Source organism: Homo sapiens, chromosome 3 (assembly GCF_000001405.40).
Source record: "Homo sapiens chromosome 3, GRCh38.p14 Primary Assembly".
Classification (NCBI taxonomy): domain Eukaryota; kingdom Metazoa; phylum Chordata; class Mammalia; order Primates; family Hominidae; genus Homo; species Homo sapiens.
In genome coordinates, this window is record NC_000003.12 from 77,949,462 (window position 1) to 77,966,085 (window position 16,624).

Below are 16,624 nucleotides of genomic sequence, written 5' to 3' on the forward strand. Positions count from 1 at the left end.
TTATTTATTTATTTTTAGACCGAGGCTTGCTCTGTCACCCAGGTTGGAGTACAATGGCACGATCTTGGCTCACTGCAACCCCTGCCTCCCAGGTTTAAGCAATTCTCTCTGCCACAGCCTCCCAAGTAGCTGGGATTACAGGCACCCGCCACTATGCCCAGCGTAAAAATATAAATTTTTGTATATTTAGTAGAGATGGGGTTTCGCCATATTGGCCAGGCTGGTCTCGAACTCCTGACCTCAGGTGATCTGCCCACCTCGGCCTCTCAAAGTGCTGGGATTACAGGCGTGAGTCACCCCGCCCGGCCATCTAGACTTTAAATCTAATTCTGTCGTTATAGATGTACAAAAATAACTGCTGCTGCCTGCCTTCCTTATTACTGCAGAAATGGCATTCTCATTTTAAAATCTGAGCTCTCTTTGTTCATCTGTATTGTTGCAACAACAGCCTTCTCTTTGCTCCTGGGAGTGATGATGTTTTATTCTTGTGTCTTTGGCACAGAGAGACACACTTTTGCATCTAACCTGAACAAAGAATTTCCTTGAGATATTTCCTGTGTTTCTGAACCATTAAACATCCTCCTAGAAACACTACTTCAACAACTTTATTTTCCAGTTAATTCACTTGCGAAGTCATTAAGGTGAAATGAAAACATCAGCATGAGTTTTCATTCGTTCTTCCTTCTCACCAGACATGAAGGGCCTGGCCATACAGCTTGCTCAGGGGGTTGGCCACTATACTGGACATCAAAGCTTAGAGTTAGGGAACACAGAGCTGTTGAGGGCCAAATGCCAATGCACCATGTCAAAGAGTACCAGATTAAAAACAGGTAGATAATCACACTTCAAATCAATAGTGCAAATCAGGCAAGGAAAATAATGGTTCCTGGTTTGAAAAAAATGCAAGATAAATACCATGAGAACTTGGTGAAGAATTTCCAAAGCAGACAGTGGTGAAGAAACAGAAGAACATGAACAAAACAACACACAGCTAGGAGACTTAAGTCATTCAAAAGTGCCTGTACCTGGGAGATTTAGAAGTGTTTTTGAATGAGGACTGAAACAGACATTTTTGTTTCTTTTTTTTTTTTTTTTCCGACTCCTTAAGCAAGAAAACCATTTCAATAGTAAGAAATCAGGGTGAGACCTCTGTTATAAGAATTTAAATTATAATTTGGCAAGCCAATTGGAAAGTACATTTCAGTAATATGGATAGAGTCAATATAAAAATATAATAACTTTTCTGTTCTCTTGTATCAGCTGCTCTTGGTGAATTTAAGATATGTAAGAATTCCATAACCTTTCTGATGCTTTTTCTTCATTTCAAAAATAAATTTGCACATTGATGACTGGAGGAATTTGTGTGTCTTTCAAAATTTCACCTAGAATTTTCAAATATATCTAACATCTCATGAAAGGAAAAGTTGTGTATTATACCTATATAAACACAAAATGGAACATAATAATTACTTTTGTCTTTACACGGCAGAGTTAGTATATTTTTCAGGTATCATATTAACACCAAGAAATTTCAGCCCTTCCCCGAGCCTCCTAAACAGAATCTGTTTTTTTCTACTTGTTTATATTTTTAAGTATATCCCACTTATGAAACATTTGCATTTGACTAATAAAATTTACCCTTCTGCATTTGAGTAAAAAAGGGAGTCATTTAATTCAAAATATTTTTTAAAAATATATAAAACATGTTTCTTTTGGCCTAAAAATGTAGAAAAAATTAACATATGCCTAGTCTTCAAGCCTAGCTGTTCAAGGATAAAAATAATGATTTAATTGAAAATTCAATTCATTTAAAAATGTTATTTAATTTTATTTCTGAGGCAGAAAAAAACATTTATAGTTAGTTCTGAATTATCATTGAAAAGCTTACTCTTCTCTCTAAATTCTCATTAATTTTACCATCACTATAATGTCCTCCGATCCTGCTTCATGCAGGAACATAGAGAGCTACCAAGTCTACCAGATGGGACTCCTTCTTTAATGGTCTGTTGAAGGATGGGAATCACTCTTTTCCCTCTAGGATCTGAGCAGTCTGCTGCTCTGGGAGGCCCACATTCTGACAGCTAAGGAAGTGAGAGGCCAAGATCCAAATTACTTATGAAGTGTAAATCGCATACCTGGCACGATGGCACTACAAATGCCTGCTGAGCTATTGAGTCAGCTGTCGAAAAATAGTGATGTTGGAAAGATGAGTGCTTGACTTTTAATTGTGGCTATCTATACTGCTTTCACCAGAAATAAAGACTGCACTAAAAGCTTAGCCATTTCTCCACTCCCTACCTCCCACAAAAAGACAAGAAAGTGTAAAGGAAAAGTACAGAGCAACATAGCAGTGTAAATCCAGATTTGTAAGTTTACCAGGTAATAAAGCCACCAGAAGACAGAAGTGTAATAGGGAATGCTTTTGTACTATTGTAGACAAAACAATGCTTGAGGGACTAAAATGCTAATAAAAAACTGTGAGTTATGATTATTCCACATGATCATAGTAGCAGAGCTCTCCCAAAGAGATGCATTCATACTCCAATAGTTAGGGAGGAATATTTCTCCTTTCTTGTGAAAGAAGTACATATGACACTGCAAAATCATATTTGAGCCATAAATTCACCCTTCCTTGTCATCTTTTATAAACATTAAATAATTGTTTTGGGTTAGCACATTTAATAATTCATGCAGCCAAAACCTAAGTATGTCCTTCAAAAGACAAGTTCAAATTTGCTCAATTTCTATCTGCATAGATTTTTGTCTCTGTATCCTGTAACAACCAACTTATGTAATTGATGAAATTTCTAGATTGTCTCTGGATAATAACACAGCTACACAGCCCATGATTTTAGTTCTTATCTAGTCATGATTTGGTTATTTGAGTAAATCAAAGCAAAATTACACTTACTGTCTGAGAAGCAGTGGATATCGTGGAAAATATTCAGACTTTGAAATAAGTTAGAAATAGATTTTCAAATCTTTGCTCAATGATTACTTGATGACAGCTTTCTTTACATAAACCTTAATTTTTACATTCATAAATTTGGGATTATTTTGGCAGAGATATGTGAAAAATGAAATAGTAAATTTTAGGTTCCTAGCACATAGCAGATGCATAATATACACTACACAGTATCTTTATTATTTTGTAGTTGTGTTATGGCGGTAAAAGTCATGATAAGAGGGTTATTAATTTTTTATTGCTGCTATGACAATATCAGAAACTTAGCACATAAACCAACAGAAATTCATTCTCTTCCGGTTCTGAATATCAGAAATTCCACAGCAATCTCAGCAGGCTAAGGTCAAGGTATCATTAGCAGGGTGTATTTCTGTCTGGAGCCTCCAGCAGATAATTCATTTTCTTTGCCTTTTACAGGTTCTAGTGGCTGCCCACATTCCTAGGCTCATGGCCCCATCGTCTGTCTTCAAAGCCAGTAACGTCAACTTTGTCCTTTGCTGTTGCTGTCTCTCTGGTTCTCACCTCCACTTTTCTCTTCTCCTTCTAAGGATCTTTGTGATTATATTGGGCCCTGCAAGATCCTCTACCTATTTAAGGTGGGTTGATTAGCAACCTTAATTACATCTGCAACCTTAATTCTCCTTTGCCATATAACATAATATGTTCACAGCTTCCAAAGATTAGGCTGCAAACATCTGTGGGCCATTATTTTGCCTATTGCAGATGGCCACAGATATAAGCAATGTCTAGAATGTGCAAATACAAACAAAGCCAGATATGGGATTCTCATAGTCATACTGATTGTTTATGTTGTCTGAATTATTGTTGAGAAAAACAGTTTGGTCTAGTTATGGCCTGAAGACTTATAAAATTAAATTCCTGTTTTCTTTTTTTCATGACTGAATCATGATTCCATTTTCTAGTGATGCCTCTGTATTTGCTGCCCATCAATAATAGGCCTATTATAAACATATATACCCACCTAAACCAGCTGTCCTTTCTTACTGCAAATCAATATTAATTTCGTTTTGGGGCTTTCACCAGATCAAAAAGACGGGTAGAATATAGCTTTTTCCTTTCTCATTTTTTTGACCTTATCTTAAGGAAGCCTCAGGGAAAAAGAAATCCATTTGATTTATATATTTATGACATATGGTAAAAGATAAAGGGAAAATCAGTCACTATTCTAAGCATAATAAAAAACTAAATTTTAGTTTTCATTCCAGATACATGAGGCCATTCTCTTAATATCCAAATTTTTTTTCATTAACATTGATGTGATTCACAAAAGTAACTGATAGCGAAAAATAATATTTGTCACATATTTTCAAAAGTTAACTGCTTAAAAGATGTTATAGAGATATCCCATTTTAGCTGAGAAATTTCCCCCAGGCAACTTCTGTCTTCAGGCAAAGGACAGAAAGGAACAATTCTTAATTCTACGGCCTACTGCAAATAATACTTGGAGCCTCAGTTTCCATAGCTTTCTGGCAGCTGACCGGTCCTGATAAAGAAATGTCTTTTAGACAGCTTCACCAGATGACTAAACTGAGCAATCATAAGTCAAAAATTGATCAGACTCCAGGAACTGAATCTTGGGGTTCTGTGTAATCTGAAGAACTCTGTAGTCTATGACAACGACTGCCATTTACAGAGAAATTGAAAAAGTCTGGCAAATTTATTAATTTTCTCCCTAGCCATTAAAAAGCTGATAACCTTGGGTAAATTAGATTGGAAATTTTGTCATTCTCCTCTCTGGATTAACATGTGGCTTAGTATAAAACCCAAACAGATAGGGTTGCACCTTTGCTTCCTCAGTTGGGGCCTACACAATTGCTCTAGAATTCTTATAGCACTCTTTGACTAAAGGCTTGAAGTCTTAGTTCAGTGCTCATCAAAAGTAAATGAGCATGAGACTCACCCTGGAATCTTGTTGAACTGCGCATTCAGTAGGTGTGAGGTGGTGCCTGGAGTTCTACATTTCTGACAAACTCCCAGGAGAAGTTACAGCGAGAGCAATACTTAGTCCACTAAATCCACTGAACTATGGATTTCTCTACTTTTCTTTCTGTTAAATGTTCTTAATGCATTTTGTCTTCCTCAGTCTGTCCATAGCCTCTACAGTAATACAAGACATTTTCAATTTTGCTGATGGATTTCATAATTTAGAATAGGTCATAACCTAAATATGTATTAAATATTTGTTATATTTAACATGAAGAAAATACAGCTGGCATATACCCTTTTAAAGAAAGTTTTTCTTAAAATCTACTTTCCAAGAATCTCTGGTTTCAATTTCTAAACTGTTATTTTTCTATGTTTTAGTATCTAAGTCATTATAAGACACATTTGAACATGTATTATATATCCTGAGAATAAAAGATGAGCAAGATAATTTCATTGTTTTTAATGATTATAGATGAGAGGATGGGAAAAGGAACTCTGAATCATTGGAGAGAGCTAAAAAGATCTCCCAGCAAAATATGTTCCTAACATTTCTAGTTAGTGGGTGCAAGTCAACCTTCTACGACAGCCATCAGAAAAAAATAAACATCATGATTCATAATGATTGCCATAAGGACAATCTAGAGGTTCATGGTTCAAAACTGACATGATCAAGCCAGAGGGTACTACCTAAAGAGAACATGTATCCAAAATGGAAAGAGAACATAGCCTCACTAAGACTCTTTTCACCATTTACATTGACTTATGTGGGGACAAGTTCAGTGTTAGAGGGGGCCAAGGATGCATCTCTAAGGAGTTTAAAGACTTGAAGGAGAAAATAGGACTTGCACCCCCTAACTAGACTATGTTGTGGGTGAACCAAACACAAAAGACAGAGCCATATACGAGAAACTATTTCATGGAAGAGACGGAGAGCATGTCACAGAATAAGTAATATTTATATTGTGCCTTTATGAAGGATAAAATTTTGCCATGTGTCATTAAAGTAATTAAAAGTAATACAACTTAATAATAGTTTAATGAAATGTATAGTTAATTGAGATGTAACGTGGGCCAAGATACAATTTTGTGCAGGGACAATGTTAGAAAATGAATTTCTAAACAATGTTAACTACTCAACATGACATCTTTCCTTTTATAGTTAACATTATTATAATGTTGAAGAGAAAAACTTTCTGGGTCTTGCCACCACAATTTCTGATACAGAAACTGTCTCCATATTTACTACTAGATTTTGGATATCTCTAGAAAATTAGAATTGGGATCAAAGAACATGGATATAGTACAGAAAGCTTTTAATACTGTTCAGCATTGCCCAGTATGTAACAGAATTGAGTAGATGCTCAGAGTGTGCTGCTGGTCTTCAATAGGGTGGACCTTCAATAGGGTGGACCCCTTATTCATTGTGCAGGAAGATAAGAGTAGGATGTGTAGGTTCATGGTGCACTGGTTACCAACTTGTCTAAGTCTGGTAAGATAGAACACACTCATACACAACAAATTACAGGAAATGGATTTATTCCTTATAGAAAAGCAGCAAAACAAACAAACAAACAAACAAAAACAGAAGCCTAGAATTTATTAAGAGTCAGCCTCTAAAGCTCAGAAAAATGTCAGGGGCAGATAGAGCCTCAATTGTTTGTACCTCACAGCTGGGGGACCCTGGAAAGTAGCTTTCTCTAGGTTTTATACCACAGGGTCATGTGACTCACTGAGATACATTGTTGAAGGGCATTCTTTTTCTAGGGCAATGATGGAATGGATTCCAAGTTGTTCCTGCTGGTCCCTCTCAATCTCAGGTTGTTATATTCCCAGCACATTCTAGTTATTCTTGAGAACTACAAGTGAAAAAGAGAGGAGAACTGGGCTAGTCAAAAACTGCCCAGAGAACTGTCCTTCAGGTAGGTGTAGAAAAAGAAAGCCTAGTGGTAATCATAGGGACTTCACATCTTCATCAAGATTCATATCCCATGTATTAATCCGTTCTCGCACTGCTAATGAAGACATACCCAAGACTGAATAATTTATAAAGGAAAAAGGTTTAATGGATTCATGATTCCACATGACTAGGAAGGCCTCACAATCATGATGGAAGGCAGAGAAGCAAAGGCATGTCTTACATGGCAGCAGGCAGGAGAACTTGTGCAGAGAAACTCCACTTTATAAAACCATCACATCTTGTGAGACTTATTCACTATTATGAAAACAGTATGGGCAAGACTTCTCCCCATGATTCAACTACCTCCCACTGGGTCCTTCCCATGACACATGGGAATTATGGGACCTACAATTCAAGATGAGATTTGGGTGGGGACACAGGCAAACCATATCATCCCACCTCTGCAACTTATTAAGTATATGACCTCTGGTAAGTTACATTTTCTGTGCAATTGAGAATGATGACAAAAGTTCCCAAGGCATAAAGTGCCTACAGTAATTTTTAAATTCCAGAAAATGCATGTGCCCAGCATGTAGTCTGTGCTTTAAAACAATGCTAGGTATTATCAGGGTCTCCCATTGTAATGAAGGTTTTTCTTTTATTCATCTATACATCCCCTGTATTATCTCTTCATTTTCCTAAAGTGTGACTTTTATAATTCTTGGTTTTCTTTATTTATTTCCATTCTTTGTAAAAACTCTATTTGATGAGATTTGTTGTACAGAAGCAAAGTCTTCCATCTTGTTCTCATGCACAGTGACTAATTTGCATTTAATGCAAACATAGCTCTTTTCAAGTATAAGCATAAAGGCCCATATTAGAATGAACACATCTGTTTATCTGTCCATGAAAAGATTTAACTTTGGCTTAAAATATGGCCTGTTTGGTTTTACTATCTAGCTTCTTAAACCAATCACTTCTCTATAAACTGGCACAATCGATTATCTTTTGGCAGTTGCTTCCAGATTTAAAAATATTTCAAGAGCCATATTCTACATCCACAATTCTAAAGTTAACTGTGTTTCAGAATGAAGCTGAGGCTACGAACAGAATTATGTTATGTGACAGACCAATTGTTATTTACAATTTATTTATTACCATGTTTTTACAAGTTTGCTTAATTCTCTGTGGATTGACAACAGGACAAAGAACATGGAAGGACTTAGGCATAACACCTTTCCTCACCTGTTTTAGCAAGGACAGACTTTGGCCTGATTCATTTTTCAGGTAGTAGGATATATTTTTCATAAGACAGTGATCTCTGTGATTCCTATTCATATACCAAATTAATATCTTAGAAATCTGTTGGAAATTACCAAAGATAACCCATTCTGAAAATAATTACTTGCTATAGCTTTATGTGCAGGTACGTGATTAAAACATAAATCAAATGTAAACTGTTTCTTGATGTTCTTCAATAAAGTTAAAAAACACAAGCAGTCAACTATCTCGAGCTATAATGGAACAAACACAATATAATAATAGTAATACCAATCATAAATATATCAAACATTGAAACAAAAATTTTATCCCGTAGTTTAAAAGTCATTTCATTTCTATTTAAATATATGTTTAATGTCTCATTTTTCTCCTATACATTTCAAGTAAATTTTATTAAGGTTAATTTACCCATAATAAAATGAAACCATTTTAGAGTACAATTGTGTGAGTGTTGACAAATGTATACAGCTGGCTAATCACCACCACAACCTAGAACATTCCCATCATCCCAGAACACTTTCTCATGTTTCTTTTCTGTCAGTCCTTGCTTCCTTCAGGTTCACCCCCAACCAACAACTGATCTACTTAGGTCGCTATAGATCAGATTTATCTTTTCTAGAGGAACCACTTTACATTACATATACTCTCTTTTGTATGGTTTCTTTTCCTCAGACTAATGATTTTGAGATTCATCCGTGTTAAATGTTGTTAGTTTATTCTTTGTTATTAGTGAATAGTATTCCCTTGGGTGAACATGATATAACGTTTATTCATTAATTGATAGTGTTTTGTTTTGTTTTGTTTTGTTTTGTTTTGTTTTGTTTTGTTTTGCTATTAGGTGTAAGACTGTTATAAACATTCAGTACTAGTCTCTGTGTAATCATAGATTTTCATTTACCTTGAGGAAATATCACTAGTGAAATTGCTCAGCCTTCTAATAATTACATGTTTAATTTTGCCTTTTGCTCCACATCTTCACCAACACTTAGATTTTTTAAAAAAATGTTACCCATTCAAGTGAATATTTAATGCTATTGAACCATGGTTGCATTTTCCTGTTGGCTCTTGTGATGTGTTGACGCAAGTCTTTTGCCCATTTTAAAATTAGATACTGTGTCTTTTTCTTTTGAATTGTGCAAGTTCTTTACATGTTATGTACACATCCTTTGTCACATATATTTACTAGAAATAGTTTCTCCCAATCTGTTTTTTACTTCTCATTTCTTAGTGGTGTCTTTGAAGGGCAGAAATCATTAATTCTAATGATGAACAACTTATTTTTTTTCCTTTTGTGATTACTGTTTTTTGTTTGGTGTTTAAAGATTCTTTACTGACCTCAAGTTTAAAAAAATTTTCTCCCACATTTTCTTCTAGATGTTTTTTGGTTTTAGCACTTAACTTTAGGTATATAATCAATTTCTAGCTAATTTTATATTTGAAGTAGGCCAAAAGCTTCTTTTGAGGAAAAGAAGCCAAAAGCAAAAAATCATATTTTGAAGATGGATATCTAATTTTTCCACCATTTGAGGGAAGATAATCCTTTCCTCCACTTGTTATATTTGTTAAAAATCAATTGGCCATATAGATATGGGTCAATTTCTGTACTCTCTATTTAATTCCATTGATATATTTTTCTATATTTATGCTGGTATATCATTGATTTTAATTACTATAATGTCTTAATATCAGCTATTAAAAGTCCTCAAATTTGTTCTTACTTTTCAAAAAATTGTTTTGGCTGTTCTGAGTTCTTTGAATTTCTGTATAAATTTTAGAAGCAATTTGTTCATTTTTACAAAAAAAAACTGTAATTATTTTTTAAAATCTTGATTTGGGTTACAATACACCTATAAATAAATTGGAGAGAATTGACACGTTAACGATGAATTTCCTAATAAATCTTCTTGATATTTTATCTTCATTTATTTAGGTCTTCTTTAAATTATCCTAGCAGTATGATAGTTTTCAGTATACAAGTCTAACATATATCTTGCTAAATTCATACAGAAGTATTTCTTGATTTTAGATGTATTTGTAGATAGTTTTGCATTTTAAATTTTATTTTTCAATTGTTCATTGCTATAATAGACTTTTATATATTAATCTTGTGTCTTTGTGACTTTAATCTCAATATTTTTCAAGTTGCATAAAAGATATTTTGTAGCTATTTTAGAATTTTTCATGTATACAATTACATCATGTGCAAAGGCAATTGTAATTCCCTTTAATATACCTTCTAAACTTACTAGACACTCAAGCATAGTGTTGAATAAAAGAGGTAAAAATGGAATTTTTTTGTCTTCTTCCCAAGAGAGTGAGTGGGTGAAGGGAATCATTTAGTCTCTCATTATTAAGTTTGATGTTAGCTATAGGTTTTCATAAATGGCCTTTATCAAATGGGGGAAATTTCTTTCTATTCATAATAGGGTAAGAAGTTTTGTTTATTACCAATGAATGTTTAATTTTGTCAAATGCTTTTGCCACATCTATTGAGAAAATTATATTTTTTCTCATTATTTTATTAATACCATGTATTATTTTTTAATGCTTTTTTAATGTCAAGCCAATTTTGCATTCCTGGGATAAATCCCACTTGGTCATGATGTGTTAACAATTTTCTGTTTTGCTAGATTCACCTTCTTAATATTTGCTGAAGGGTTTTGAATCTGTTTTATAATTTTCTTTTTATGTGATGACTTTTTTGTTTTCATTATTAGGGTTATGTTAATCACATAAAATAAATCAGAAAGTGCATCATAATCTTATTTCTTGAAAGAACTCTGTACATTGATTTATTCCTTAAATGTTGGCTGGAATTGATCATTGAGGACATCTGGCCCTGAAGCCATCTTTGTGAAAGAGGTTTTTTAGTTATGAATTCAATTTCTCTAATAGATATGCGGTCATCTAAGTTTTGTATTTGTTCTTGTGTTAGTTATAGTAATTTATAAGTTTATTTATTTCTAGGAATTTGTCCATTTCATCTATTTTTTTCAAGTTTATTGATAAAAATTATTAAATTCCTTACTATGTTTTAATGACTTTTGGAACCATGTGATATCTGCTCTTTTACTCTTAATACTGATGACTTTTGTACATTTTTTGTTTCCTAGTCCATCTAGATGTTTATCAGATCTATTGATTACAAAAAACACAAGTTTTTGTAACCTTTTCAATTAAAATATAACATATAGTAAAATACACAAATCTTAAACATATTCCACAGGAATATTTTACAAATGAATATACTTTCATAACCACCACCCTAGTTCAGACACAGAATTTTATCAGCAATCAAGAGCCTTTATCTTATCATCTTCCAGCCCATATTTCCCCCAAAGTTAACCACTCTTTTAACTTCTACTACCTTCAATTACTTTACCTGTTTTAGAATCTCATATAAATAAAATCATATGAACTATACTTTATATACTTGGATTCTTGGTTAATATATTTTTGAGATTCATCCATGTTATTATGCATAGCAGTAGTTAAGTTGCCCATGAAGAAAAAAAAATAAGCAAAAGAATGAAAAATAGACCCTGGGCTTCCTGTGTCCTTGTGGAGTGTTCTTTCCCACCATTCTCACACTTATTTGTGTGTGAATATCCACATTCTAAAACTCTTGAGAATACAGACTATTTTCTATACTTCCCAAACAATACATTCACAGTCCGAATTTTTACTTTTTAATAGAAATGCATTGACCTAGATGGAATGGTCAAGATTTATTAGGATTTTACCAGCAAGTAGAAAAAGAACAAAGCTGGGCATTACAGAGGAGTACTGAGTCTTTTCAAGTTACCATCTTACTGACCTTGGATAAGTCACTTAATTTTTCTGAGCCTTACTTTGCTTCTCCATAAAGGAGGAATAGTATGACTTGCCTTATCCTATTCAAAGAGATACAGTGGGACTCCAGTAAAAACATGCGTAAGTACTTTGTCAAGAGAAAATAAACACAAAATGTTTTGTTAATATAATAAATGAAGCATTGAAGCTTAACACCCAAATCTTAAAAGCTAAAAAAAAAATTCCCAGCAGTCTCTTTCTGCCAAGTCTGTGCCTGTATTAAACTGGGTAGGTAGTGAGGAATGGCTTGGGCTGGGCTGGGTCCATTCCCTGAGACACAAACATGCTACAGGAGTTAAGTGCCAAGATGGGGCAAAGTGGAAAGATAGAAAGAAGTAGAAGTTCCAATATGGGGTTTGTTTTTAATTCATGAAATATATATTTCTATTAAATGCATTATCACAAAACCACTTCTAGCATTCCAAATTTTTATTTATTTTTAAGTTTACATACAGTAAAATTTACTCTTTCTGGTGCTAGCCATTGGTTTCACTAATTTTCTCTATTGTTTATCTAATTTTGAGTTCACTGTGTCCACTCTTATCATCATAGATTTCATCTTTTTATTTACACAGAGGTTGATTTTCTTTTCTTTTTTACTTTTCTTTTTTACCTTTTTTGGAAGGTGGGGTTAAAGCAGAAGCTTAGAACATTAATTTCAGACAATGTCTGTATTCTAATGAAGCATTTAAATATATCAGTTTCTCCCTCAGCACTATATTATTTGCACCTCATAATTTCTGATAGGCTGTTTTCAGTGCTATCTAGGGTAAAATATTTTCTAATTTCTCTTGAGCTATCATTTTACTTATCAGTTTCACAGACTTACAACATTTAATTTGTAAATACTTGAAAATCTTTCATATTTGTTTTATTTATATATGACTTAAATCTTTAATTTTTAGATATTATTACAGTTATTTGAAGTTCATTTTTTCTTTTATTGCTGAAATATAAAAATCTAACTGAATTTTGTATATTGATCTTTCTTTTTTCTTTTTCTTTTTTTTTTTTTTTTTTTGAGACGGAGTCTCGCTCTGTCACCCAGGCTGGAGTGCAGTGGCGCGATCTCAGCTCACTGCAAGCTCCGCCTCCCGGGTTTATGCCATTCTCCTGCCTCAGCCTCCCCAGTAGCTGGGAGTAGCTGGGACTACAGGCACCTGCCACCAAGCCCTAGTTTTTTGTATTTTTAGTAGAGACGGAGTTTCACCATGTTGGCCAGGCTGGTCTCGAACTCGTGACCTCAAGTGATCCTCCCAACTCAGCCTCCCAAATTGCTGGGATTACAGGCATGAACCACTGCTCCCAGCTTGATCTTTCATCCAGGGACTTTGCTAAACTCAAATATTTGTTCTAGTAGTACTTTTTTTTCTAAAAACTTGATTTTTTTTAATGTACACATTATGTTTCCTTCAAATAAAGAAAATTTTACCCATCTTTTCCAATCTGGATTATATTTATGTATATGTCACGTAACAGATTTGGTGTAATTTTCTGTCTTTTACATTTCTTGTAGTTTGTTTTATTGCTGTATATATATATTTTATGGGGAATAGTACTTGTGCTCTTGAAACTGATGTATATTTTATTGCTGTTGAATGAGGTGTTCTTTAAATGTCAATTGGTTCATGTTAAGTAATAATGTTCACATAGTTGAGATTCTTTATATTTTTTTTTACTTGTTTGCTCAATTACAGGGAGAGGAGTGCTATAGTTTCTAACTCTAATTGTAGAAATGTCAGTTTCTCCTTTCAGCTTTGTCAAGTTTTGCTATATGTGGTTTAAAGCTGTTTTCCATGCGTAATGTTTAGAATTCCTAGGTATTCTTGAAGAATTAATCCTTTGATCTTTATAAAATTATCTTTATCCCTGGTTATATTTCTTTTTCTAAGTTTCACTTTGTCTGATATTAATATAGCAAATCAACTCCCTTATGTTTAGTGTTTGCTTGGTATAGTTTTCTCCCATCATTTCACTGTTAACTTATTGCATGTTTGTATGTAAAGTGCATTTTTCCTTCCCTTAGTGGTTAATTTTATGTTGTTTCCCAATGTCTGAAAACAGTTGTTGCATAAATATTGCCCCCTTTGATTTTGTTTACAAAACAAAAATTTGTGTACAGTGGGATAACAAGTTCAGTACCATTATTCCCTCATGGCTGAATGTCTATACGTTTATACATTTTTATCTTCTGATTGCTGTGTCCTGGCATTTTTAGTCTATACACAGTGTTACCATCATGTTAATGACTACTGTACCTCCAGAACATAATACTTGTCTTATCTCTTGGTAATCCTCATTTACATGTTGAATAACAGCTTGCATTCTGCTTTATGATTCCAAGTGAAATGAGTATTGACTATATATAAATGGCATTTATCATCATGATGCATTTGGACAAACCTCAAAGAACGAAAATATACATATCTACACACTTTAAAATATGAGCCACAAAATGGATGATAATCTAAGCTCTTCCAATCATGACATATGGACAAAAAAGACATTCCATGCCTTAAGTGTAATGGTAAATACACTCAAAGGTGAATTACAAGTTGATGATAAAAAATTGCTGGCAACTAATTCCAAATGGAAAACATAATTAATTACTGAAATATTAAAAATTAATTTCTTTTTATTGATGATATTTAGATATACAAAATAAAATCTCAGTTATATTAAGAATTGCATGGAACTTATATTGAAAATCTTGTGATAGCAATTTTATTAGCAGTTGTGGTTTGAAAGGTCTTACACCACTATAATTGAATATGCCAAATTTCATTTTAGCATGTCAATATGGCTTCCATATTTGGGATTCTATTTTTTTTACTTGAGCTAGTGAATTTATTCTGTAAAGCTTACATTTTCAAATTTGACCCTTAAACCTTATGAAATTATATATTCTTAATTCTAATAAAAGTTCTTGGTGAATAATTCCCTAAATGTTCAAAAATTCTACTAATTTGTTTTTCATTCCTTTCATCTTTTTTATGTAATGATATAATACCTTCTTAATTATCTTCTTGGCACACTGTCTATAGCATTTTTTAAGATAAGTTGATTTCTTACTACTCTAAAATTGATTTCCAGGCTGGATGATAGTTATATTTTATATATACACACATATAGTTTTAATGTATGTATATATGCACACATACATGTGTATATTTAAACATATAGACAGCTATAGATATATAGATAGAGGTCATTATTTTAAAATCAACATGTTAAATCACACAAAAATTTTACAGGATGTGATCATTAGTACAAAAGTTATCTGCTATTGTAGGTCATCTATTATTTACTATCTACTATTAATGAACAGATGAACAGAATATGATATACAAAAAATAAGTAATTGCATCTTCTAATTTCACCCACAAAGAGCAGTTTCTGTAATATTTTAAAGTAGTTGACATAGAAATTCAAGTAAAAAAATCAAATTCTATGAGACCGAAAATTTCTTACATGTTCCCCTTTTTCCAGAGAGCCTATAATTTTATGGAACACTGAACTGGAGATGCAGAAATAAAAGTGTTGGGAATGTGGATTTTTAAAAACTAATATTTATTTTGAAATATTTTAAATTAGAGGAATTTTTAAAAATCACTATAATGAATACTACGTACAAATTCTTTTAAATGTTTTTTTCACTTGTCTTAGTCCATCTGAGCTGCTATAACAAAGGGCCATAGACTGGGTTGTTATAAACAGCAGAATTTTATGTCTTACAGTCCTGGAGATTGGGAAATCCTACATCGAAGTGCTAGCAGATTCCATTTGATGAGGGCCCAGTCCCTGATTAATAAACAGCTGTCTTCTCTCTGTGTTCTTAGAAAGCAAAAATTGACAAATGGGATCTAATTAAACTAAAGAGCTTCTGCACAGCAAAAGAAACTACCATCAGAGTGAACAGGCAACCTACAGAATGGGAGAAAATTTTTGCAATCTACTCATCTGACAAAGGGCTAATATCCAGAATCTACAAAGAACCCAAACAAATTTACAAAAAAAAAAAAAAAAAACCATCAAGAAGTGAGTGAAGGATATGAACAGACACTTCTCAAAAGAAGACATTTATGCAGCCAACAGACACGTGAAAAAATGCTCATCATCACTGGCCATCAGAGAAATGCAAATCAAAACCACAATGAGATACCATCTCACACCAGTTAGAATGGCAATCATTAAAAAGCCAGGAAACAACAGGTGCTGGAGAGGATGTGGAGAAATAGGAACACTTTTACACTGTTGGTGGGACTGTAAACTAGTTCAACCATTGTGGAAGTCGGTGTGGCAATTCCTCAGGGATCTAGAACTAGAAATACCATTTGACCCAGCCATCCCATTACTGGGTATATACCCAAAGGACTATAAATCATACTGCTATAAAGACACACACACACGTATGTTTATAGCGGCACTATTCACAATAGCAAAGACTTGGAACCAACCCAAATGTCCATCAATGATAGACTGGATTAAGAAACTGTGGCACACATACACCATGGAATACTATGCAGCCATAAAAAAGGATGAGTTTATGTCCTTTGTAGGAACATGGATGAAGCTGGAAACCATCATTCTCAGCAAACTATCACAAGGATAAAAAACCAAACACCACATGTTCTCACTCATAGGTGGGAATTGAACAATGAGAACACTTGGACACAGGAAGG

At 33.5% G+C, this 16,624-nt stretch overlaps 1 long non-coding RNA gene across 2 annotated transcripts in view; it reads right to left on the reverse strand.

Annotated features, from left to right (window-relative positions):
- LOC105377171 (uncharacterized) overlaps positions 1-16,624 on the reverse strand; it is a 183,241-nt gene that overhangs the window by 102,836 nt on the left and 63,781 nt on the right. The gene's annotated exons all lie outside the window — the stretch shown is intronic.